Below are 26,502 nucleotides of genomic sequence, written 5' to 3' on the forward strand. Positions count from 1 at the left end.
TTTCTTACTGTCATAATTTTGCAAAGGTGGTTTCAATCCTATTATATTTTGCTAACCATTTAAATGCTATATTTAGTTACCAAATATTATCACATACACATAACACACATAGACATACAGACTTAAAGACAGAAGCAGATCTAATAACTTTCATAAACAATTCCCATTTGCTGGCTTTCAAATAGTCTCTTTTCCCTATTTAGACTATAAATCTTCCAACTACCTAATTCATTGCCCTAAGAAATTGTTAGGAATCCTAAATTTGTACTTTTTTTTTTTTTTTTTGAGACGGAGTCTCGCTCTGTCGCCCAGGTCAGACTGTGGACTGCAGTGGCGCAATCTCGGCTCACTGCAAGCTCCGCTTCCCGGGTTCACGCCATTCTCCTGCCTCAGCCTCCCGAGTAGCTGGGACTACAGGCGCCCGCCACCGCGCCCGGCTAATTTTTTGTATTTTTAGTAGAGACGGGGTTTCACCTTGTTAGCCAGGATGGTCTCGATCTCCTGACCTCATGATCCACCCGCCTCGGCCTCCCAAAGTGCTGGGATTACAGGCGTGAGCCACCGCGCCCGGCCCTAAATTTGTACTTCTAAAGGGATGCTATTAGGTGGAACACGGTGAAAAATTCATATCTCAAAAGCACAGAGCTGAGACTTTGGGCCTAAATACTGTACCACTGGTTCCCTAAACCAAGGAAGAAAAGTGTCGGTAAAGGCCCGGTTAAGACAAGATGGCAAGGAAAAGCACCTTAAACAATGGTAAGATTTATGTTAGATCAGTGGTAAGAGTTTCTAGTGACCCAGTCCACCCTCTTCTCAGTGTAGATGCCCTTACAGATGGCGATTTCCTTTATAGATGTAAATTTCATTTACAAAAGGGTTTCAAAGTAGCCATCTAAATGCCAGAAAGGTACATTTTGGAGACCAACTTAGTTCAATAGGCGGTCTTCTTAACTTAGCTACTGTTTCTTTGCTAAAATTACTGAGTTCGGGGCAGAGCTCATTACTGAACTGTGCAAAGAAAGCATTTTCTTTTTTCTTTTTTTTTTTTTTTTGAGATGGAGTCTTGCTCTATTGCCCAGGCCAGAGTGAGAGTGCAAAGGTGCAATCTCAGCTCACTGCAACCTCTGCCTCCTGGGTTCAAGTGATTCTCTTGCCTCAGCCTCCTGAATAGCTGGGATTACAGGTGCGCACCACCACACCTGGCTAATTTTTGTATTTTTAGTAGAGATGGGGCTTCACCATGTTGGTCAGGCTCATCTTGAACTCTTGACCTTGTGATCTGCCCACCTTGGCCTCCAAAAGTGTTGGGATTACAGGCATGAGCCACCGCACCAGGCCAAAGAAAGCATTTTCTTTGCCTGGACTCAGCATGGATAGCTCTAACAAAGAAGCAAGCTTACTTTACCTAAGGGCTTACCTTTTTGTCTTTTTATTGAGACAGTCTCACTCCATCACCCAGGCTGGAGTGCAGTGGTGTGACCATAGCTCACTGTAATCTTGAACTCCTGGACTCAAGCAATCCTCCTGCCTCAGCCTCTCTAGAAGCTAGAACTACAGGCATGAGCCATCACGCTCGGCTAATTTTATTTTCATTTTTTGTAGAGATGGGGCCTTGCTATGTTGCTTGGACTGGTCTTGAACTTCTGGCCTCAAGCAATCCTTCCACCTTGGATTACAGGCATGAGCCACCACAGGTCCTCTATCTTCTATAAATACTTTATCCAGCTTTCTTTTCCCTTTCAGGGCAAGACAGTAACAATGACAAAAGGTTAGAAGACCTAATTTTTCTGATTAGTCACTTAAGCTTTTTATTTGCCTTTTACAAAGAATCTTTTAAAAGAATCTGTAAAATTATTGGAATCTTTTTAGAAGCTTCTGAACTTCAACAGCCATCCCTGAATAATACTAAATTGGGAGACTTCATTTTTATATGTACTTCCTAAAGTGCAGTGTTGTTCATTTGGGATGTTCCACCATAACTTTAGATTACCTTTAGTAAGATTTCACCATTTCTGTAAGTGTTTGCTGCTTCCAGGGCCTATACCTCATACAGGTATACGTAGGTGTAGCCAGAAGGTAGAGCACTCAGTTCCGCAGAAATTAAGGATTTCTTTATTTATTTATGTATTTATTTATGAGATGGAGTCTCGCTCTTTTGCCCAGGCTGGAGTGCAGTGGTGCAATCTCAGATCACTGCAACCTCTGCCTCCTGGGTTCAAGTGATTATCCTGCCTCAGCCTCCAAAGTAGCTGGGATTACAGGTGCCCACCACCACGCCTGGCTAATTTTTGTATTTTTAGTGGAGACGGGGTTTCACCATGTTGGCCAGACTGGTCTCGAACTCCTAAGGTCAGGTGATCCGCCTGCCTCAGCCTCCCAAAGTCCTGGGATTACAGGCCTGAGCCACCACGCCTAGCCCAAGGATTCCATTTTTACGTTGAATCTTGTATTTGGCTCTCAGATCCCCTTGATTAACTTGACTAATGATTTTTCCTGACCGAAGCACACAAGAAAAAGAAACAAAGGGTATAGAACATAAAATTCCTTGTGAGTTTCTTAAAGCCAGAGTTCATACCCCTGCAGTATTGTTATTAAAATATTTACTGGCGGTTTCTATCTGACCCAGTCAGATAACCGAGGCATCTAACTGGATCCAAGCCAGTTAATTATCAGATCCAATCAAATCCTGGACCCAGTCCAATGTCTATCGACTTCCAAACTCAGCTAAGATCAAAAATTTGCTCAAGCAAGCTTGAACAGCTGAAAACGGCAATGTATGGAGCTTCAGAATCTGAGAGAGAATGCAGCCACAATCTCCAGTTGCTGTAAGAGAGCAGTGGACACTGCGAGAGGACGGGCCCAGCAGGTACCCCTTGTGGTCACTCAGTGCTCCTGGGGGATCACTGGGAGCTCTACTTTGGGGTCCATTTCTGACACCATCTGTTAAAAGAAAAACTTCAGACAAATTAAATTTAGCAGAGCTCAATTGAACAAAGAATGACTTGTGAATCAGACAGACCCCTGAACCAGGATAGCTTTGGAGTGACTCCAGTGCTGCTGAGTGGTTGGAGAGAATTTATGGACAAAAAAGGAAAGTGACCTAAGAAAACAGAAGTAAGGTATAGAAACAGCTGGATTAGTTACACCATGACATTTCCCTTATTTGAGCATGGTTTGAACAGTTGGCCACCTCTGATTGGCTGAAACTTGGTGACTGGTACAAGAGTAGGTTACAATCTGTTTAATCATTGGGTTATAGTTCACTATGTATGAAGAACCTTTAGGTTAAACTTAAAATATTGAAGGAGGCAGCTTTAGGGTAAATTTAACACTAGGAAGCTGTAAGTAGTTTATTATGGGTGATACACAGAGTCGGGCAAGAAGGGGGGCAGAGGTGGAAAGACGGGTGAGACCAGGTAATAAAGAATCTTATGTTATATTCATAAGTCCATAATTTATTCCTGCCAGCACCACATACCTATTTGTTTAAAAATTTCATTTCCATAGCCCCCCTAGACTTCCTCATGAAGGAATTTCCTAAGACTTTGACCTTGATGAATTCTGATTCATTGACAATCCCTTCTTTATTTTCTTATTTTTATTTTTTCACTTTCTTATGGTCCTGAGACCACTCCTTTCTGAGTACAAGCATCTTGGCTGGCCTAGAATATAGTCACAACTGTGTTCCACGGACTTTACTGAAGGTGGAAACAACTGTCTTCCCAGCATCCCATCTGTACTGGTCCATTTGCATTGCTATAAAGGCAATTTATAATTCACAGTTTATTATGGCTCACAGTTCTGCAGGCTTATAGGAAGCATGGGACGAGCATCTGCTCCTGGTGAGGCCTCAGGGAGCTTCCAAACATGGTGGAAGGCAAAGGTGGAGTTGGCATATCACCTGGCAAGAACAGGAGCAAGAGAGAGAGGAGGAAGATCACAGACTCTTTTAAACATCCAGATCTTTCATGAACTCATTACTGCAGGGAAGGTACATAGCCACACAAGAGATTCCCCATCACCCAAATACCTTCCACTAGGTCCAACTCCAACATGGCGGTCACATTTCAACACGAAATTTGGAGGGAAAAAACATCCAAACAATATCACCATCTTACAGGCTGGTGTTGTCTGGTGGGCTGTTTGGGAAATACTGGTCTAGACACATTTCTCAAACTTGGCAATATGACTCCACTGGACATTAAAAAGGGATTTCCAGGTATTTCAAGATAAAGGGATTTATTCTCAGGAGCTGCAAACATAAGCTAGGTTTTCTTACAGTGTTAACATCTTGGTTTCAGTTACACGGGTCACCAGATTGATACAGATTTAGCTGAGGTAATAAATCACTGCTTCAGCAATCTTAACAGTCAAGTCAGTTATCTAACGATGATTTGACAAGTAATGAGGTCACCTGCCATTTCCTCCCATAAGTAATTCAACTGCATTTAGTTCATAATACATATGGCTAGAAAAGCATCTAAATCAATTCCTACGATCAGAGAGAGAGATGTCCCCATCACCATGAAGCAGAAGTTACAAAGAAATGGGGGAAGATGCTATGCAGTTGGCCTTAAACATAGAGAAAGGGACTATAAGCCAAGGAATGCAGGTGGCATCTAGAGGCTGAAAAGGGCAAGGAAATGGATTCTCCCCTCGATCCTCCAGAAGGAACACAGCCCACACTTTGATTTTAGATTTCTGACCTCCAGGTCTATAAGATGATCAATTCATCTCTCGATATGGCCTCCTCCTGTTCATTGCCACTGCTCTCCAGTTTAGACTCTCCCTTGGATCTGCCTCTTTTCTGAATCCATCCTCTCAAGTTGTTTTCTTAAAAATCAAATCTTATTATGTCACAGGGTTTGAAGTGCATGAATACTCACTGACTCTAGTTAGGCTCCTTTCCTGGAATATCATTAGAAACCAGAAGTAAGGGTTGTTTACAATTCCCATCAAGGACATTTGGTGTGATCTCAGGAAGGCTTAACAGGGATGTGATTATAGCTACCAAAAAAAAAAAAAAGCTTAAAACAAATTGTACTACACTCTGAAGAAAGAACGCATTAACCAAATGGGCTAGGTAGGGTAAAGATTTTTCTGCACTTATCCAGCACTGAATGGAGGCAAATTCACTGACTTTGGCAGCCATCAGTAAGACTGGAGGTGAGGATACCTGGATTTTTAGGAAGGGTTTTTCCTAAATAGTAGGTATTGTTATCCAATCAGGAAGTTCTGTCCTGATATAAATGCTCATCATATAAGAGTTAGTTATCAAGAGTCAGTCAACTTGCTCACCTCTAGATGTGGTAATACTGAGGTCCAGATCCTCCTGGTGATCAACACAAACTGGATTAAGAGTCAGCTACTCAGTCAGATCCTGAATCCTGGTCCAACGATAACCACACTCTTGCCTGCTACCTGCTTCAAGAAGTACACAAAAGAGGGATCACTACCACAGCCAAAGAAAGGAGGAAAGTTTTTTTTTTTTTTTTTTTTTTTTTTTTGAGATGGAGTTTCGCTCTTGTTGCCCAGGCTGGGGTGCAATGGCGTGATCTCGGCTCACTGCAACCTCTGCCTCCCAGGTTCAAGCGATTCTCCTGCCTCAGCCTCCCAGTTGCTGGGATTGCAGGCATGTGCCACCATGCCCGGCTAATTTTGTATTTTTAGTAGAGACGGGGTTTCTCCATGTTGGTCAGGCTGGTCTCGAACTCCCAACCTCAGGCAATCTGCCAGCCTTGGCCTCCCAAAGTGCTGGGGTTATAGGCATGAGCCACCGCGCCCGGCCAAAAGGCAGAAAGTTCTAAGAAGGAGAGGTCAACATTGGCAAATGCCACAAAGGGCACAAGATGGGAATTAAATTTTTCCATTAGATTTGGCAATTAAGCAATGGCTGATGTTGTTCAGTGGAGTGAAAGGCTGAGAAGGGAATGAGAGGTTAGGAAACATTCACCTTAAGGCTAGGCAACTCCTTTGAAAAGAGTCAAGTAGGGTTAAGGGAGGATCCATGCCCTCCAGGTTGACTTTTAAATCATATTCCCTTTGGTTTTGCATTTGAATCACAGTGAACTTTCTCCTCTCCAAATGTTGATTTGACAAATTTGAGTCTTACCATGGCTCTCTTCTCAGTCCACCTGCAGGTCAAGGAACTAATGAGGTGTGGAGTAACTAAAGGTCAAAAAACAAGAGGAAGAAACAAAGGGCCAAAAAACCCCAAACCTTAAATCAGGTCCTGAGTCAGATACGCTGTAACAAATTCTGCTTCAAGTTTAATATTCTTGTTTTGATGATGTTTAAAAAAAGAAAAATAAAAGCAAGTGTCTGGAAAATTAAAAGGCGGGGTGGGGGGGGGCATTTTAATTGGAATGCTTTCTTGTATCTCATCCACTATCCGCACCCCATCGCCCTGCAAATTAATAGCTGTTGCGGAGTTGGGGTATGTGTGACCACAAAATCCAAAGGCTGAATTTTGCCCAGTGCCTGAGTAATTGCATGCCACACACAAAAAAACAGTAGAATATTGAAAACAACATACACATCTGTATTTCCATATGAAAGCACCCGTTTCCTTTCTTGATTATCTGCTATTTTTAAAGGGGTTGGGAGTGCAGCGGGGCGGGGGGATGAGGCGTTTTTTCTGAATACGAGCCCAGCTCTTTCTAAACTTTTGTTACTCACGTCCGTTTGATTCATTTGCTGTGTTTTTTCTTTCTTTCTTTTTTTTTTTCCCCTCTCCTGCCTCTGTCATTGCCTGCTGCTAAGAGGGACGCTGAATCACAGCCACTGCAGATGAAAAGCAATTCAAACCCAGTCCTTGGAGGGGGGATGGAACGGCTCTTTTTGATTTTTTTCCCCTCTGCAGAAAAAGCCTCCTACTTTCCGGGTGACCGTAGAGGGCAGTTTGACAAGTCTCAGCCCCGGGCGATGGAAGATTTTGCCCGTGGGACCGTCACGAGCCACCGGTCATCTCCCCGCGCCCGGCTTTCGGGTCCTCAGGCCTCGGTGCGTCGCGGGCCAGGCGACAGCGGGGGGGCGTCGCGGGCCGGGCGAGCGTGGCCCGGTGGGCCCGAGGGTCGCGCCGAGCTCCCCGCCGCTTTAAAAGCTCCCACAATGCAGCGCTGGCGTCCCAGTTCCGTTACGAGGTCTCTCCCGGCGCCGGCGAGCGGGCCAGGCGCGGGCGGGGCGCGGAGGAGCGGCGGCTGAAACCCGAGCGCCCGGCCGAGGGGGGCGCCCCCGCGCCGCTCCTCTCGCGCGCTCAGCCGCTGCCCGGCGAAGGGGCGGAGCCGCCTGGCCGCCCGGCCCGGCCCGGCCCGGCCCGGCCCCCAGCCCGGCCCCCAGCCCAGAGGCACCGGCCGCGGGAGCGAGCGGGTCGCCGACTCCTACGCCCGCGCTCCTCCTACGCCCGCGCTCGTCCGGCGCCCCGCGCCGCGCCCCGCTCAGCGTCTGCCGCCCAGCTCCTCGCCCAGCCTCGCCGAGCCTCGCCCTTCCCGCCCGCGGCGGCGTTGGCGCTGGGGGCGGCTCCCGCGGCGTCTCTGCCGCTGGCCGAGCGCTCGCGCACCGCGGCACCCCCGCCAGTGGCGTCCACACTCACCTAGCGCGGGCCGGGAGGTGCGCGGAGAGGGAACGCCGGGGGGCCGGGGCCTCCAGCCGGTGCGGGGCGCGCGGCGCGGGGAGCGCCGGGGAGTGCCGGGGAGTGCGGCGCGGGGACGGGCGCTGGGCGGCCGCGGAGCTCCGGGTGCCGCCGCGTCCCCAGCGCCCCGGCCGGCCCCTCTGGGCGGCCTGCGGGGGCGGCGCAGTTGCGAAACTGAGTAAGTATTAACTTTACTTAGCGGCGGCGATCCGGGCTGCGCCGGGGACCCCGCCCGTCCCGCCTGCAGCCTCGGAGCTGCCCTCCGCCCGGTTGCCCCTCTCTCCGCACCTTGGGTACCTCGTCCGTTCCGCCCCCACCCTGCCCCGCCGCGGGCTCCCGCTCCCTCTGCGTTCACCTTTCCTGGTGTGTCACCCTTTGCGCCTCTCCTCGCGGCACACAAGCCGCGGACTGAAAAGTACGAGCTTGGTCTTTGCTTTTCTGCTTCCTCCCAGTGTCCTTGGCAAGGGAGTTTAGAGGCCACTTTTCTTGCAAAGGGAATTTTATGTCTGGTTTTTAAAATATTTTTTCCTCCGGATGGAAATCGGATGCTCGCTTGCCGGGTGGCGGTTTGGTGAACGCTTTTCTCCTCTAAAAAAATATTGGTTTATAGGTTTTTAAATTTCATTTGAACTATTAACCATCTGCATTCTATTCTCCTTTGCCGCCAGTCCCTTTGGGGAGGGGAGTCCAGAAGAGGGGACGTTCAAAGTAATTCTGACTTGCAAACTAGAAAGTTTGAGAGGGTAAATCGCACAAAGCCGGAAGATTCAACTTGAAGGGACGCGAGCTTTGAATGTGGGTCCTGGTGCGGCACTGGGTTTTAAAAGATGAGTACTTGGGTTCGGAATCCAGTGTTGCGTTGTTATTTTAGCATCATAGAGCCGCCTGGTGTTGCTAAACCACTACTTTCCCAGCCTCAAATGGCATCTTGAACAGTGCAACGTAGGATATATAATTGCGGGTCAATATTGTTGCTGATCTTTAGGGATTTAGAAGCGAAATGAATGCAAATCACGTCTCATAGCTGACTTAAACCTGTCAGGTTAGCCCTGTCAGGTTAGCATTAAAGCATTTCATTAAAAAAAAAAATCCTCTAGCCCTGTGACAGCAGGGACGAACATTTATGGATTTTCCAGTAGATTGTGGCTCAGCAATTCATTAGATCTGCTTTGTCCCCAGGAAGCATTTTAAAATATGTATAAATCTCTGCTTTTCTCTCCATTAGATTAACCACTCATTCTGGTAGGGGGCCCCAGGTAGTTTTTATTTTCTTTTTTGCCTTTCATCTTGGAGTTGCCAGGAGTTGCCATCATGTTATGAAGGAACAGAAAATGAGAAGCTTTCTTAATGGGTTTTCGACATCCTGTCCTTTGCCAGAGTGAGGCGGTAGTGAATGCCAGCCAGCTTTCTGCAGGGAGAGGTGCAGGGTGGACGCAAAAATCAGGACGCAGGAGACAGCACTATCATTTGGGGAAGTGGTTTGTGTGAGTTTTATCTTTTAGCGGGCATACTAATGGTACTTTTAATTTTATTTATCTCTATGAGGCACACTCCCCAAACCATAAAATTACACATGACCATCCCCCACTTGAAGAAGACTGAACATAGTTTGATGATTATTCTATTCAAGGATCAAGTACAACAAAATATAATTTGTAATACAGATGATAAAACCTTTCAAAAATCTCCCCCTTCCTCATTTTTTTCCTCAAGAGTCTCCAGGTGGTACTTTCTGTGATGGACACAATTGGCAGTAATGCACTGAGTTCTTTCTAGGTTTATTGATCAAATCTTATGTCTGGGCTTTAGTAGCTTAGGGGTGCATTAGAGGGCCCTGAGAGGGAGCAAATCATGGGGCTGTGCAGGCAGGAAAGGCACTTCACTTTGCAGAAGTGTCAGTGTGCTTCTGGAAAAAACAGTTACAAAGAACAGAGAGTGTTTAAGTTGTTTATAGGATGCATGTTTCCTGAATTTGGCATTTGGTTCAGATATTTGGTAATTACAGATTTAAAATTCGACATGGTTGTATAATTTGTTTTGCCTTTTATTTATTTTTTTAAGGTTGCAACCTTTTAACCTGAATCTTCAGTGTTTGGCTCTTGTAGGCTTCTATACGTGGTGACTTACGTCAGTTTTTGACCTGACTGCCTTGTGTTTTGAGAAATGATTAGTTCTTCAGGGTTTCTGACTCATTAATTGATCTGTTTTATGTTGATGTATATAATGACTTGGAAGTAAAAATATTGTTTGCCGTGGGATATTGTTGTCTTTTTCTTATGGTTAATTCCTGGCATAATGGCTTTGCTCCTTTATTATAAAACATTAAGATCTTAGATATCTTGCTAGTGTTCAAAACATTACAAAACTCTTTGCAAGTAAAAGTGGAGTGGGAATGGGAGTTGGATAGAAAAACATGCATCATAAATTAAAGATTTGGATTACAAAATAATATAACGTTTATTTACTCTTCTTTGATGCTAACTTGCTCTAACCCTAAATAGACTTAAAAATTCAAAGTGTAGAGAGAGTTTCCAAGTATTCTGTATAGTGGAAAGAATGTTTACCCCACTGCCAGCCAGACTTGGGTTGCACGTGTGACTTTGTCACTCCCGAGGTGAGTGAGCTCGGCCATGCCACTTCAGCCTCTGTGATCTACAGTTGCATTTCTGGAAAATGGGGATACCACTACTTAAAGGGATGCTATGGTGAGTAGAACATCTAATATATATTAGATGTGCCTGGCACATTTCAGCCAATAAATGACAACATCTCAAACTCCTTCAGAATTGAGCTCTTGGTCACTCAAACTTTCAAACTGTTCCCCCTCCATTTTTCATCTCATCCATCCAAGGAGTAGCTCACTCCACTCTCTCTTTTCTTCTATCAGCCCTAGCAAACCAGTCCATCATAAAGTCCTGCTGTCCATTTTTATTGCAAAATCTCTTTCAAACCGGTCTGATTTTCAGTCCCCACTATTCTGCCATCCTAATGCAAGCCACTGTACTGTATTATCTTTTTCCTTGGTGCGGTGCCTCCTGCACACACTCTGCACCCCTTGCAGTCTGTTTTACTACCAGCAGCCTGAAAAAAAAAAGAAAAAGTATTTGCCGTCTTAAAGTTGTCAGGGCTCTCAGGAAACACATTTATTTATTTTTGGGATAAGATACCAAATCCTTGACATTACTTCAGGATCCTGCATGATTTGATCTCTACATCCACTTGCATCTCTTGCTGTCATCTTGGCCAGTTCTCCAGCAGACTAGCCTCAGGCCTGTGGCTCATGCTGTTGGTCTCCCTATTTTAGGATCATCTCCTTGAGTAACTTATCATCCTTGGGTGCTAGCTCAAATGTCCTTTCTCATAAAGGTCTTCTCTGACAAGCCCACCCTTATCGTCATGCGAATTAAATGTCCTTTATTTTCTCCCTCATAGCGTAATCACTTTTGCTTCTGAATATTTACCACAATTTATATATTATTTAATCACTTAGGGTCCTTTTCTTGCCCTTTAGGTTAATATGAAGTTGATAATACCTGGTTTAATCACCAGTGCCCAGTATATGTAGTAGGTGCTCAATAAATATGTTGATATAATGAGTAAGATCGTAATATCAGTTTGTATCTTTATCTTTTTTTTTTGAAATGGAGTCTTACTATGTTGCCCAGTTGGTCTTAAACTCCTGGCCTCAAGTGATCCTCCTGCCTCAGCCTCCTGAGTAGCTGGGACTACAGGTGTGTGCCACCATGCCTGGCTTCTGTATTTGTATCTTGATTGCCTTCTTTATCACTGTTAAATTTGCTTTTCATGATAGAAAAGCCAGACCCACACTTTTCTATATTCCTTCTTTGCTGGTTATATGTATAATATGAAACGGCCTTTGCAAATATCAGGTAAAAATGCATGTAGGTTCTGTGAAATATTCGTAGTAATAAATTGAGACACCTTTTAATTAGTGTTACCCTTGTGACTTTCTGTTGTACATAATCCTTTTTCTAAATACATCATTAAAATAATTATTTTTTTATCAGCATAAGCTTACTGAAAGGAAAAAAAATCTTACTGTGCCTTACTATTTTACAGAGCGTCACATGATAACACGTTAGTCAGCTGCTGTCGGCTGGTGGTGCCAGACATCAAAGGAAGATTGGGAAAACTTTAGTAGAAAAACAAGACCTAGAGTTCTAAGGATGCTCAGTGCTGTCCAGCTGTTGATGTGACTTGCATGGTAACCAGACATCACTGGACCATACACTTAAGAGAGAGGAGGAGTTTTTTTTAAAAAAAGTGGGAGCCACCTAGAAGTCTGGAAGTTCTTTTCTTCTCTCTCACTAAAGCATTCCTTGTTTTAGCCAAAAAAAAAAAAAAAAAAAAAAGTCTCATGACCTTCCAAGGCCAAGGAAGGCTTACAGCTTTGAGTATTTTTGTCATGTGGTTGCTCTTTACGAAATATTAGCTTGATGTCCTCTAACTCTGAAGTACTTATGTCTGTTATTGATGTTTGTAATCTCTACTTCTTACATAATTCTGCATTTTTCTCTTGACTTGTTTTTTAGGACTTTAGTATTCCTTAAAAATCATTTCCTCACACCCTTAGAGTGTAGTTCTAGTTCTTTCTAGTTTTGTATCTTATAGATCACTGAGTGTGTGGGGGCACTTTGGAGCTGATTCAAGTCCTTCAGAACGTACTCCTCTGCAGTCCACCTCGGGGGTTCCCAAACTGTGATCCTTTGAGTGGTCTGGACCCTGAGGTTTCCGTAGCCTGGGTGCTCTTGGGTTGGGAGAGCAAGGAGGATGAAAGCAGCATTTTTGAGCCCCTGTTGGGTGCTCTCGAAGAGGAGGAGTGAGTAGTTTATCTGGTCAGAATTGGAAAAGTGAAGCTTAGGCTTTCTTTCCATATATTTGCTTCACAAAAGAAAATTGTTCCTTTTGTTCCTACATTTCCCCACTCCTGATTTTCTAGTCAGGAAGGCATGAGAAGAGAGAGATGCCCCTGCAAGCCAGACCCTTACCCTGGTGCTTATTTAGACCTGATTTTAAAAATGTTGAGAGCAAGCCCTGAGAGGGGCACACCAGGTGATTTGCCTCGTGTAGGCCCTCTGTGCCTGCAGGACATTCGCATCACGAGTAGCTGCCACTGTGGAGGAGAGGAAAGTTATGGTTGGGAACCCTTGTTATTTTTTTTCCACCATGTATATATGTCCACTGGTTACTTGGGTGACCTTGAACAAGTTGCCTTGAGCTTTTTAACACCAATAATATTTATTACCCATTTATTTCACAGACTTGCTATAGGATTTAGAAAGCTATTCTTAGCAAGTGTTTTTTTTTTTTTTTAAATCACATTCAGATATATCACAAAATATTGCAGTGAACTGTAGGGCTGTCCAAATTTTATGTATGCAGCAAAATATTTTCTTACTCATTAGCATATGTTTTACTCTTTGTTTTAAAAAGAAATCAGATGTAAATGCAGGTTATAACAAGAGGAGAGCTGTGATGGTTTGCTACCAGGTTTTATGTAGGTAATATATTTTGTCACTGTTGTTATATTTGGTCACTGTTGTTAGCTATCATTGGCTCGTGAGTGCTAAATCATGTTTATCCTTATAGTAATTTTACTATTGGAAAATCGCTTAAGACTAAATTATTCTTCCAGATACAAGTATATATGTTTAAAAGAAATTGGGATTCTCTTTAATGGATAGATATTGGGCAGAAAGTAAGGTTTTACCCTTATTTTTGCTTAAAATATTTGAGTGGATTTATAATCGATGAAACTCTACTGTAAAAATACCAGTGAGAAATAGGGATGTTTTGTAATGTTGAAGGTAAAATTTGTTCATTTCTATGGGAAGTTCTAATACGTTAAATGTCAGAATATCTTATAGTAGTTTATTTGTGCTGTATTTTTTCTTTTTAGTGTATAATGACTTCCCTTATATTTCTTTTTTTAAACAGCTTTATTTAATTAATTAATTTATATATTTTTTGAGACGGAGTCTTGCTCTGTCGTCCAGGCTGGAGTGCAGTGGCACGATCTTGGCTCACTGCAAGCTCCGCCTCCCGGGTTCATGCCATTCTCCCGCCTCAGCCTCCTGAGTAGCTGGGACTACAGGTCCCCGCCACCACGCCCAGCTAATTTTTTACATTTTTATTAGAGACAGGATTTACCATGTTAGCCAGGATGGTCTTGATTTCCTGACCTCGTGATCCGCCTGCCTCGGCCTCCCAAAGTGCTGGGATTACAGGCATGAGCCACCGTGCCCAGCCTTAAACAGCTTTATTGAGATATCATTGACACACAATAAACTGCACATACCTAACTGTACAATTTTACAAGATTTGATCTATGTATACACATGAAATCATTCCCACATCACTTTCCCAAATTTCTTTTTTTTTTTTTTTTTTTTGAGACAGGGTCTTGCTCTGTTGCCCAGGCTGGAGTACAGTGGCATGATCTTGGCTCACTCAACCACTGCCTCCTAGGTTCAGTCAATTCTGCCTCAGCTTCCCGAGTAGCTGGGACTACAGGCTTGTGCCACCATGGCTGGCTAAGTTATGTATTTTTAGTAGAGACTGGGTTTTGCCATGTTGGCCAGGCTTATCTCTCCACCTCAAATGATCCGCCCACCTTAGCCTCCCAAAGTACTGGGATTACAGGCGAGAGCCACCATGCCCACCCCAAATTTTCTCATTCTCCTTTGTAATTTATCTTCCTTTCATTCTCCCGTTTCCTCTAAACCACTGGTCTGCTGTCACTATAGAGTAGTTCAAATTTTCTGGAATTTTAGATTAATGGAATTATGCAGTAATATACTTTTTTTTGTTGTTGAGGCTTCTTAAACTCAGAATAATGGTTTGGAGATTCATTCATGTTGATTTATGTAGTAGTAGTTTATTCCTCTTCATTGCTGAGTAGTATTTCATTGTGTGAGTACACAGCAATTCATTTATCTACCTATTGATGAACATTAGATTTGTTGCTAATTTTTGGCTATTACAAATAAAGCTGTTATGAATACTTGCATACAAGTATTGTATAGACATATACTTTCATTTATCTTGGGTAAGTACCCAGGAGTGGAATGGCTGGATCTTATGGTAGGTGTATGCTTAGCTTTTTAAGAAACTGCCAAACTGTTTTCCCAAGTGATTGTACCATTTTACATTCTTAACCACCAGCAGGTAAACATGCTGTTTCCTTTGCATCCTTGTCAACACTTGGCATAGTTGGTCTTTTTTAGACATTTGTGGTATTTTATTGTGGGTTTTTAAAATTTTTATTTTTTTAATTTTAAAGACAGGGTCTTGCTCTGTTGCCGAGGCTGGAGTACAGTAGTACAGTCATAGTTCCCAAGTAGCTAGGACCACACACATGTGCCACCATGCCCGGCTGTTTTTTAAAATATTTTATTTTGTAGAGATGAGGTCTTGCTATGTTGCCCAGGCTGGTCTTGAACTCCTGGCCTCAAGCAGTCCTCCCACCTTGGCCTCCCGGTGTTGAGATCACAGGCATGAGCCATGTGTCCAGCCATCATTGTGGTTTTAATTTGCATTTCCCTAACAACTAGTGATGTAAAGAATCTTTTCATGTGTTTTTTATGCTATCTTTGTATCTTCTTTGGTGAAGTGTCCTAGTCTTTTGCTGATGTTTTTATTGGGTTGTTTTCTTATTATTAAATTTTGAGAATTCTTATATATTTTGAATACAAGTGTTTCATCAAATATATGCTTTGCAAAGAATTTCTCCCAGTTTGTGTCTCATCGTTTTCTTAACAGTGACTTTTGAAAAGCAGAAGGTTTTAATTTTGATGAGGTTCAACTTATAAATTTGTTTTTTATAGATTGGGCTTTTGGTGTGGTATTTAAGAAATCTTTGCCTAGCCTAAGGTCATAAAGATTTTCTCCTATGTTTTCTTCTAGAAGTTTTATGTTTTAGATTTAGATCTGTGATGCATTTTGTATTTCTTACATGGTGTGAGTTATGGATGGAAGTTAATTTTCTGCATATGGAAATTCAGTTGTTCCAACACTGTTGAAACGACTATTCTTTCTCCATTGAATTGCCTTTGCACCCTTGTCAAAAATCAGTTGTCTGTTATATCCTTTTTTATTGTATCAGTTGATATACACATGGTATTACACAGTATTGTTAATTATCACAGCTGGATGACCAACTAAATGAAAAGCAGCTATCTCCAAGCCAGTACTTGATAATGTGTTTTTGTCACGTTTAATCACATTTCTAGTTTCCTTACAATAGCCTTTGTGGAAGGCTTTCCTACTCAGACATTCCTTCTCCCTCTTTTCCTTTCTTTTTTTGTTATTTGCTCTCTGTTATAATAATAAAGTCTGGTGATGAGGGTACATACATACCTTATCCCTTTTAACTAATCTCAAATACACTTTTTAAAAAATGTTTCCTATTGATAATTATATTACTTTTCTTTGAAAACCTCCCAACCTAGATCATTCACTTAATTTTAATTTTTCTATTCTTGATTATGTGTTTCTTCCCCTGTTGTATTCTGCTGAGTAATGGCATGATTGGAAAGAGTGCCCACTTAAGTTAAAGCCTGGCTACACAGGTGTAGCCTTGAAGAAGTTGTGAGCCTTATCGAGCCTCAAGTTTCTAATGTCTAAATGGGGCCACTGATTCTTCACTCTGGGTTGTTTTGAAATAAAGGAGATGTTTATGTATGTCCACATACAGAAACAAATGGATATGAAGTACCTCAGTGGAGAGTTAGTGCCTTCCCCTTACCCAACTCCATGAACTCTGAATAATCATTTTGTTTGAACTGGGAGGCAGGACAGGCCTCTGCTCTCTGGGGAGGACAGGCACTGACCCCTCTGCAGTCTATCCAGGCAAGTAGCTCTGAAGAGAACTGGAGTTAGAGACAACCCTGTCTGTTCAAGTCATGCAAGGATGGGAGAAGAGCTCCTCACCATGCACACCCTGGATCCCGCTGTCTTCGGGGCCCTTCTCTATCAGTAATCCATCCTCTCTCCCGAATTCAGTCTCGCCTTTCCTTGACTTTTTGCTTTGGGCCTGGAAACAATATGTCAAGTCCATTGACCCTGGTGCTGCTTCTAGCTGTCTCCTTTCTCAGCCAGCTTCTTACAGGGGTTGTCTGTGCTTATTGCTTCTACTACTTCACCTGCCAACTCACTCCCCAGCCAGGTACCATTTCTTAGAAACGTTTCATGCCACAGGCATCCATATCTTAATTGCCTAAACCAGTGGAAACTTTTCAGCCCTAATATAACTGAAGTTGTTTGCAGCATGTTTACACTGTTGGGCTGTCTCCCTCCATCTTGAAACGTTGCTTCCTTGGCATCACTCTTTCTTTGTTCTTTATTTTTTATTTATTTATTTATTTTTTTGAGACAGAGTCTCGCTCTGTCGCCCAGGCTGGAGTGCAGTGGCACGATCTCGGCTCACTGCAGCCCCCGCCTCCCGGGCTCAACCAATTCTCCTGCCTCAGCCTCCCGAGTAGCTGGGATTATAGGCATGTACCACCACACCCAGCTAATTTTTGTATTTTTAGTAGAGATGGGGGTTTTACCATGTTGGCCAGGCTGGTCTGAAACTCCTGACCTCAGGTAATCCACCCGCCTCAGCCTCCCAAAGTGCTGGGATTACAGGCATGAGCCATCGCACCCAGCCTGTTTGTTCATCCTTTTAGTTGTTCATTCAAAGCCAAACTGCATGCCCCTCCATGAATGAGGATATAGCAGAGAGTAAAACACACAAAGCTCCTGTTTGCATGGAGAGCACACTGTACTAGGGGGAGAGAGATAATAAATGAACAAATATTTTCACTTTATTTATTTGGTGATAAATGCTTTAGAGAAAAAAATAAGGTGGGGGGATTGAAAATGCTAGGGGTGGGAGTAGAGGTGTTATTTGATATTGGATGGATAGGAAGCCCTTGCTAATGTAAGCACATTTGAGTAGAGACCTTAATGAAATGAAGGAGCCAGCTCTCTGGCTGCCTACAGGAAGAACGCTCCAGATAGAGGGCACAGTGCAGAGGCCCTGGAGCCAGTGCTCACATGTGTACCCACATCCCAGCCACCATGCGGGTAAGGCTGGGGGGAGCAAAGGGCTGGAGATGAGGCAGAGGAGGTAGTGGGGGTCCCTATACCTTAGGCCTTATTGGCTATGACAAGGATCTTGGTTTTGACTCTGAGTGAGAAGACAGTTGAGAGTCTTGAATAGAGGAATGAATAAACTGGACTGCAGCCTGAGTAGCAGGCAGGAGCACAGACTCCGGAGCTGGCTACTGCGGTAAAAACCCAACCGTCTGCCTGCTGGCTGTAGGACCATGGATTAGTTCCATAACTTCTCTGTGCCTTATCGGTAAAATGGAGATAGTAATGATACCTGTCTCACAGTGTCGTAAGGATTAGAAGAGTTAATATTTGTGAAGAACAGAGCATGGCAGATAGTATTATAAAAGTGTTTGTTAAATAGAATTAGTAAAATTGAAAAGGTTCACTCTGCTGTTATATGGAAAGTGTTTGCCAAGGGGAAGTAAGGCTAGAAGTAGAAAGACCAGTTAGGAGATAATTGCAACAATCCGTGCAAGGGATGGCTTAGATGAGGTGCTGATGGTGGAGGTGGGGAAGTGAGGAGAAGGGTCACATCCTGGGTATATTTTGGCGGGGTGGCTGGAGGATTGGATCTGCTTTTCTTTCCATCCTGGAACTTTCCAAGTTTTCTTTGCTGCCTTGTCTGCTCCCTCTTGAACAGGGGTTCTCCAGTGGGGTGGTGCCATTCCGGAATATGTGGGTGCATGTTTTGGTTGTTGCAGACTGGAGAGATGGGTATTTCTGGTATTTAGTGGCCAGGGGCTGGGCCAGGGGTACTCAGCATCCTATCTGGTGAAGACTTGTTCCTTGAAATGTGCCAGTGGCATCCTGGATGAGAAATGCTGCTTTAGACCTTTATTTCCCCGACCCCCACTCACCTCCCGTCTCTGCTCGCTCACCTGCCTCCTCAAGATTTCTTAACCTATAGTCCCTGTGTGGGCAGCAGGGAAGCCCACGAGCTCCCTGATATTTTTTCTCAAAATGTTCATGTGCTTTTAAACTCTCTTTCTTCCTGTACGACCCCACTTTTTTTTTTTTTTGGTGAGAGGTTGCAGAATTTTTCATCAAGTTCTGAAAGGAGTTCACATCCTAAGAATGTAAGAATTTCTGTTATGAGTGATCTCACCCGTCACCCACCTTCATTGTTTTTACTCCAACCTTTATGGTGCTGAATGTCCGGATCTGTGCTCCTGCAGTGCTCTGTGCCCTGATTTCTGGGCCCCTGCCCACTGAACTATGTGTCAGTTTCTCGGGATCAGTGTGTCACCTAACTTCCTCCTTAATTTCCTGCCGGGATTTGTGGGACCATTATCCATCTTACTCTTAATATTGTCTTTCCTATGCCACCTCACCTTGAGTAATTCATCTAGTTCTGATTTTACCTCCTGGACAGCTGAGGAAATTTTCTCCATCTTCCATCATTCACTATCCTAATTTATCATCTCTCATTTAGATTGTTTCCTCTTAACTGGTCTCCCCGCCTGAAACCCATCCTCCATGTTGCCGGATGAGCTCTTGGACACAGAAATCTCACTGTGTCACTGACCTGCTAAAAGCCCAACCCTCAGTGCCCACAGGATTGAGTTCAGACTGTTACGATACACAGGACCTCGGACATCTGGCTCTGGTCTCACACCCTGGGCTGGTCAGATGGCTGTCCTGCCTTACTGCTTGTCTGCCCTCCCATCCCTTGACTGTTCTCAGGCACTGGGCACCAGGTGCCAACAGGACTACATTAATAAGACTTCCCATGCATTGATGCTGAAACATCTGAACATGCTATTTGATGACATGAAGAAATGGTTCATCCTCTTTTTTGCCTGCCAGAACACTTGACGGTATTAAAACCAGCCTGGCTGTCCCTTTCTCTTGAAGGAGGATCTCACTCCCTTAGGAGGTGATCGTGCCTTCCTTCTATATCATATGCATACATAGTTCTTATTCCTTTGCTGTAATTTTAGAAGCCCTCTACTTTAAACAACTAAGCTTCTGAGAGGCTCTTCTTAAGCTCATTTCTTCACGAGTTTCAAGTGACTAAGAGGTCTTTAAGCTTGTAGCCCTCGATGCAGTTCAAGGAATGCAAGTTGGTTCTTTGAAGCATTATAACTGATTATGTCCTTGCTGCTGGATGTTCTAGGGTTATCTTTTTCTAAAATGGAGCAGCTTTGTCTGCATTAAAACTCTCTGGAAACACATGGCTTCTTAATGATTTTCGTGGGGCCCTGGGGAGCCCCTCAGTAGCCCTTGATCTCCAAGTTCACTCCTTACCTCTTGAATTGTAAGGAGCCTTGGTTATGCACAGCCTTTCTGTTGTGGAACAATTTTTTGGCCTCCTGAACTAACATTGGGCCAAGTTCCCACCTTTGGCACTGATCATCCTGTTGCATATTCAGAATGGAAAAACTTCTGATGATCTCTCTTCTGTGTTCTGGTCGGTCATTAATGCTTGTACTTCATCCTTTGCCCTCCAGGAGTCTTCCTAGTTTTCATTTCATATGGAAAAAAAAGAAAAAAAAAGAAGAAGAAAAGTATTTTTTCACCACTCTCAACTGTTTCCAATGAGCTTTCTTTTTGTTTCTGTTATGATGTGTGTCTCTTTTTATTAGCGCTTAAAAAATGTACTGTGCTTTTGCATTGGCAGATGCAATGGCATTAGTAATGTTTGTAAAACACTTAAAAATGTATTGTAGATACAGCAGACACATTCATCCACAGACTAACAAACATGAAAGTAACCACCCAGGAGAAGTTTTCAGAGTTTGGCTCTGGAACTGGTATTTGTTGCCATCTGAGCACTTGTGATTTCAATCACGAGAGTGAGAAGTCCAGATTGGTTTAGTATTGCTTTCCCTGCTAGACTTTGGGTCTCCTGGAAAGCAGGATCCATATTTAGTTATCCACTGACTCTTTAATGGCAGGCACTTGTCTGACTCTTACTGATTCCCACTGGATCCTTGGGCCCAGCACAGCTAGTCGTTGAGTGAATTTATACCCTAAAACAGGACCATGCCAAACTGCCGGTAGACACTAAGTGTGAAGACCAAACGAATAATTTGAAATATAACTGACTTAATCATTCATATTACATGGATGACTTAGGTGATACTGAAATCTAGATTAATAGGAGTGGAAGTTTTACTTGGCTTCTGAAAACACTTCAACAAATAGTAAGTACTGACCATATTCAGGAGACTGACATAAGGTTATGAGGAAGAATGAAGTGGTCTTTGATTTGGGGAAGTTTATTATCAACCATTGAGGATACAGTAAGTACATAAATATTATATAAGCTATAATATGTAATATTATAAATATATAAAGCTGAGTAAGAGGAGAGAGTGGCTAAAAAACTAAAAGAGTAAGGGCATTTACTCCAGCAGTATTTATAGTAATAAACATTAGAAACATCTAATGGTTAATATCAGGGCACTGGTTAAGTAAATTATTGTATAGGCTCCAGATGAACTGTTATACAGCCATTAAAAGTATTTATGAAGAATTTACAGTACTTTGGGTAAATCCTTTTCTTTTTATAAGGTTAAAATGAGAGAATACAAGATTGTACACAGAAGGTGATAAGAATTTTTGTATTTTTTAAAAACAGTAATACCAAAAGGAAAAAACACCAGAATGAAGACATACCAAAATATTAACATAATTTTTTGACTTCAAGTATGTTATGTCTGTGTGTACATGTATATGCACATGCATATGCAGTTTATTGGATTTTCATACACTGAACAAATCCATGCATCAAGTGCACAGATCGAGAATACAGCATTATCAGCATCTCCATAGGCCCTGTGTTCCTCACTTCTAATGGCATCTCATAGTTTTGACTGTTTTTTTTCCTTGTATAAATGAAATCATACAACATGTACTCTTTGGTGTCTTGGTTTCTGGCACCCAAGGCTGTGTGATTCATTCATATTGCGTATAACTGTAGCTTGTTCATTCTTTTTTTTATGGATGACTTTTTTTGTTTTGAGACAGGGTCTCACTCTGTTGTCCAGGCTGGAGTGCATTGGCAAGATCATAGCCCACTGCATGCTTGAACTCCTGGGTTCAAGTGATCCTCCCTCCTCAGTCTCCCCAGAATAAGCAAATATTCTGTAATCATAAAAAGATCGCTATTTTTTTTTTTTTTAGAAGCAAAGGCTAGTTTATTTGTTAAAATGCTTGGGTAGGTTCATTTGGCCAGTTTGGCTAGACTGTGGGACATATGAAGGGGAATTGAGAAGATAAATTGGCACTGTACTGAAACAGATGTGGTGCATGCAGTGTGAACTGAGGGTTAGGATAACCAGGTTCTGTTTGTCACTTAGTAGTCATGGGACCATGGACACATCATTTAATCCCTTTGATCCTCAGTTTGCTCATCATCCATCCGTCAGCTGGATGTGATGGTATCTATCTTCCTTATAAACTGACCATGAGGCTTAACTTGAGATGCTGAGTTTGTGAGACAGACTGCCAGACAGTGAGGTCCTTCATTTAAAAATTAGGGAGCCTGCTATGGTCTGAATGTTTGTGTCTCCCTCAAGTCCATATGTTGACATCCTAACCTCCAAGGTGATGGCATTTGGAGGTGGGGCCTTTGGAAGGTGATTAGCTCGTGGAGGTGGAGCTTTCATGAATGGGATTAGTGCCCTTATAAAAGAGAACTATCTGTTCCCTTCTACCATGTGAGGACACAGCAAGAAGGTGCCATCCGTGAACCAAAAAGTGAGCCCTTGCCAGACACCTGATCCGCTGGTGCCATAATCATGAACTTCCCAGTCTCCAGAACTGTGAGAAATACAAGTTTCTGTTATTGGTAAGCTACCCAGTTTATAGTATTTTGTTAAAGCAGCCCAAATGGAGTAAGAACCCGTGTCCGGCTGCTGTAAATTTCTCTATGAAGTGAGGGATGAGAGAAGGGTGTTATTAGGAAGTGAAAACAGATGGCTTTGAGGTTGCAGTTTGAGCAAAACAGAGAAGTTTGGGGCAAGTGTTGGCTAAGGTCTCAGTGAGCTCGGTGGTCCAGGGAGAAAGCAGCGGGGCTCAGCAGTGTTGAGGCCCCCACTGAGGTTGGAGCAATGTAAATGGAGTGTAATTTTTTTCCCCTAGAAGATTTATTTATTATTGTTTTATTTTGGCTAATATTAAACTGATTTTTCCTGATCATACAAGCGGAGGAGGTGAAAGAAAGAAGAGGGAGGGAGGTGGAAAGCCCAGCCAATACGCGAGAAGTGCCACAGCTAATCTGCAAAGAGAATGGAGATTCTGTTTAAAGGAAACCTCTGATTTTAAATGTGAGCAATGTGGAAGTCCACATTGAATTGGAACATGTTTTTCCAAAGGTATTTATCCTACAAGGGATGGCTAGGTTTTTTGTTTAATCCATGAGAGTCTACAAAACAGACAGGGACTTTTACTAAAATACCTTTTTTTTTTTTTTTTAAGCCATAGCACTATACTAGCAGACACAGAGCAATACTCTAAGCCCAAGTTAGTTCTAAAGCAATCCCAGCATTTCCTAATGTAGAATCTGAATAAGTAGAAATCTTAATTTTCCTCAATACAGCTTTAACTATTTTAGATTTTTCAAATTGAATAGGGCTTGATGTACCAGCTTGCAAACCTATACATTTATGGTAGTATTGTTTCTATGGGAATATTGCTCAGGTAGGTGAAAAGTGTTGGGGCTGCACTCTGAGTTTGTCTGCCTCTTCCAGACATATTGACCAGTGAGCACTCAACCCTGAATGTAGCGTGGGTAGGGTAGCTATTGGTAGATAATTGATGTCGGTGGATTGGGTGGTGCCTTTATTCATCAGTGATTCATTCATTCAATATCTGTGGAGTGTTTGCAAGCTGGCTATGCAAAAACAATAAGAACCAATCTTATCTTTGAGACACTTTGTTAAAAGAGGGGCCTTTAAACAAATAATTTGTGAAGTGTGATAATGGATAAAATAGAGATGTGGGTTCCCAGGGTGGGGTTGGGAGTGAGTGCTTCTGGAAAGATCTTCCTAAGTCCACCTGAGGAAATCAGGGAATGTTAAAGAGGAAAGTTCAGTTTGAGCTAAGACTTGAGGATGAAAGGCATTTTTTCTGGGAGGACACTCCATACAAACAGGACAACAGGTCCAAAAGCACAGGATATAAGGGAGAATGTGGTCTGCCGGAGAACAAATAGTCTCGATATCATTAAAGTTAGATGTGCACAGTGGGCTGGGGGAGTGGCTGGAGCTGAGGTTAGGAATACTTACCCACCCCACCAGGGTAAAGGATGTTCATGCTGTACTAGAGTTTGTTTAGCTTTCAGTTGGTAGCAAGCTTGGTTATGAGAAGCAGCTTTTCCGGTCTTTGTCCTGAATTAAGATTTTGACATATTCAGATTTTAGATTAGAGAATGTTGGGATTGCTTTAGAATAACCTGGGTTCAGCATACTGCTCAGTGTCTTCCAGTGTAGTGTATTGAGATTGCTGTGTTTATATTCACTCTACAAAGATTTATGTGAATTAAGTTAAAGGAACAATACTTGTAGTGGTTGATGTTACAAAGATAAGAAATGGCCTCTGCCTTTTAAAAAGCTTGCAATCTAGCAAAGCAAAAGTTGAACTTTAAGAAGACTTATTTTAGAAATAGAGATAAATGCAAAGGAAAGAGGAGAAACAGAGGAAGCTATTTAGAAGGTAGTACACGCTGATCAAGGACCAAAGGACCAGAAGAAATAATACCTGGGGACAGTGGCATAAAGGTGGATGAGAGGTGATGGGGTGCCCTAGGGAGAGGCCACCACAGCCAGAAAACTGTGGTGGTGGCTGACCCTGGAGCATGGATGTACAGAGTACCTTTGGGAAGCAGCACAGTGTCTAGACTCAGTCAGCTTGGGATGAGACTAGACAGAAATGGGGCCCATAATGTGATTGGAACCAGGTGTAGAGGAGCCGCACCCAGAAATTTTGGACCTTATTCCAAGCCAGTAGGCTTTTATGAACAGGTCTCCTGGTCTCCTCTCCTCACCCAGGCTGCCAGTGAGGCAGGAGAATAGGGTCTGGAGGCAGGGAACCTAAGGCTGTTTCATGCCAACTTCCTAGAACTAAATTGAAAGGAAAACCCATCAGATCGACTTCCTAGGACTAAATTGAAAGGAAAACTGTAACCCTCCGCTTAAGGAACAAGAGGACCAGAGGCTACTCCATTTGACCTTTTCTGTCTGGAGGATGGGAAATTGGCTGTCTGCAACAAATCATACTGAGTGCAGGTGGAGTCTTCATTTGCAACTTTGTAACTTCATTCCAGCCTCAGAGTGGTTGCTGTCCACACCAGCGGAGTCTTGGTTTGCACAGAAGTATAACTTTGTAACTTCACCTTAGCCTCTGATTGGTTGCTTCTTCTTTTGCATGTGACATTTGTAACTTCACTTCAGCCTCTGGTTGGCAGCTTTCTGCAACGAATCAGACTGATTGTGGGCTACCACTTCGGTTACATGAGATGAGCCTGAAGTGGCCAATGGGAAACTTCTAGTGGGTATTTGGACCCAAGAAGATTCAGTATCTGGGCCATTGAGCTGCTGCTTGGGTCTGCTCCCACACTGTGGAGTGTACTTTCGTTTTCAGTAAATCCCTGCCTTCGTTCTTTTGTGCTTTATTCTTTCTTTGCTTTGCTGGGCGTTTTGTCCAGTTCTTTTTTCAAAATGCCAAGAACCTGGACAACTTGGAGTCACGACCCTCTACCGGTGACATGACTTTCTCCAGCCTCTCTTCCCCCTGCTGCGTTAAGAACAAGCCCAGTGTGTTACTCCCAAAGCCTAACACCACATGCTTGGGACCTCCTGGTTTTGCACGAAAGTTGTGAATTTAGCCTATAATTCTAAGACGTTTCCCTGGTCCACAGTTTATCCCCTCATTGTTGGTTCTCCTCACCTTAGATTTTTACAGAGCACAATGTAGTCTTTCAGCCACTTTTGTATCCATTATCTAATTTGATTATTAACAGTCATTGGAAATAATCAGGTCTGGCAATTTATAGGTAGGAAAATTAAGCTCAGAAAGCCTAAGCGAATAGCTGCAGATGAGATTAGCAACATTGTCATTATGACCCTGTTTGTTTCAGGCTTCCTTCCATTAAGTCATTACACCACAGCCTTCCACCTGACTGATTCTGACTTATTACCAGTGAATGCACGCCAGCCACGTCGTTATGGCATCACTGAGAAGTTTGCATGGATTCATCCTTGTTGGGCTGTGACTTAAGTATTTTGAAATGGCTGAGATTATGGGCTATAACCGTGACCATTACACAGAGAGAAACTAACTGGCTTATATGGTAGTTTGCCCATAACCATCTTATTCATTTTTCTTCTATTTAAGGAACAACCCAACTTCCTACTAAGTCTCTTTCATTTATATGATTATTTTGATTTTTTTTTTCTGGAAATAACCCAGATCATTGCAGTTCTTGTTCTTGACCTCATGTATTTAACAGGAAAATTGTTTTCCATTTTTCAGATATTCAGCAAGCTAACAGAGTTAAGTGTAACTAATTTAGTGAATTTAGTTGGCAATATGATTTGCCAACTTTAGTATACAAGTTAAAATATTTGTAAGGCAAAAAAAAAAAATAAGAATCTTGCTTTACAAGTATACTTTGATTTTGCCAACAGTTACCAAGTTGGCCTTTTAAAAATTACCATTGAGAACAACACGGTTGTAAGGCAGCTACAGTAAGGGCAAAGATAACTAGTTTTTATCATTAAGGACCACTGACACCAAACAGTCTG

At 42.9% G+C, this 26,502-nt stretch overlaps 1 protein-coding gene and 1 long non-coding RNA gene across 14 annotated transcripts in view, besides 4 other annotated features; one reads left to right on the plus strand and one right to left on the minus strand.

The window, feature by feature from the left end:
* Positions 3,314-8,102, minus strand: RASSF8-AS1 (RASSF8 antisense RNA 1). 2 transcript variants are annotated; one of them, NR_038228.1, is made up of 4 exons: positions 7,986-8,102; positions 5,299-5,424; positions 4,887-5,007; positions 3,314-3,901 (listed from the first exon to the last, which is right to left on the minus strand). It is a non-coding gene; the product is annotated as an RASSF8 antisense RNA 1 (long non-coding RNA). The 2 variants fall into 2 exon arrangements; NR_038227.1 differs by lacking the exon at positions 7,986-8,102 and adding an exon at positions 6,113-6,245 and having other exon boundaries at positions 5,299-5,421.
* The window catches only part of RASSF8 (Ras association domain family member 8), a 121,658-nt gene continuing 102,047 nt past the window's right edge, over positions 6,892-26,502 (plus strand). For 7 of the 12 annotated variants that reach the window (NM_007211.5, XM_047428189.1, XM_047428188.1 and 4 more), the window contains exon 1: positions 7,342-7,808. The gene's annotated coding sequence lies outside the window, so the exon portion shown is untranslated. Of the gene's footprint in view, positions 7,003-7,341; positions 7,809-22,414; positions 22,548-26,502 lie in introns of those variants that run through there. The other 5 variants (NM_001394094.1, NM_001394096.1, NM_001394095.1 and 2 more) reach the window with 3 other exon arrangements.
* Positions 6,954-7,443: a silencer, noted in NCBI's record as "silent region_4295". NCBI's record gives its function as "represses an Ori minimal core promoter by ATAC-STARR-seq in GM12878 lymphoblastoid cells {active_cell/tissue: GM12878}" and the evidence as "EXISTENCE:reporter gene assay evidence [ECO:0000049][PMID:35858748]".
* Positions 7,544-7,643: a silencer, noted in NCBI's record as "silent region_4296". NCBI's record gives its function as "represses an Ori minimal core promoter by ATAC-STARR-seq in GM12878 lymphoblastoid cells {active_cell/tissue: GM12878}" and the evidence as "EXISTENCE:reporter gene assay evidence [ECO:0000049][PMID:35858748]".
* Positions 7,714-7,763: a silencer, noted in NCBI's record as "silent region_4297". NCBI's record gives its function as "represses an Ori minimal core promoter by ATAC-STARR-seq in GM12878 lymphoblastoid cells {active_cell/tissue: GM12878}" and the evidence as "EXISTENCE:reporter gene assay evidence [ECO:0000049][PMID:35858748]".
* Positions 7,904-7,953: a silencer, noted in NCBI's record as "silent region_4298". NCBI's record gives its function as "represses an Ori minimal core promoter by ATAC-STARR-seq in GM12878 lymphoblastoid cells {active_cell/tissue: GM12878}" and the evidence as "EXISTENCE:reporter gene assay evidence [ECO:0000049][PMID:35858748]".

This window comes from Homo sapiens, chromosome 12 (assembly GCF_000001405.40).
Source record: "Homo sapiens chromosome 12, GRCh38.p14 Primary Assembly".
Lineage (NCBI taxonomy): Eukaryota > Metazoa > Chordata > Mammalia > Primates > Hominidae > Homo > Homo sapiens.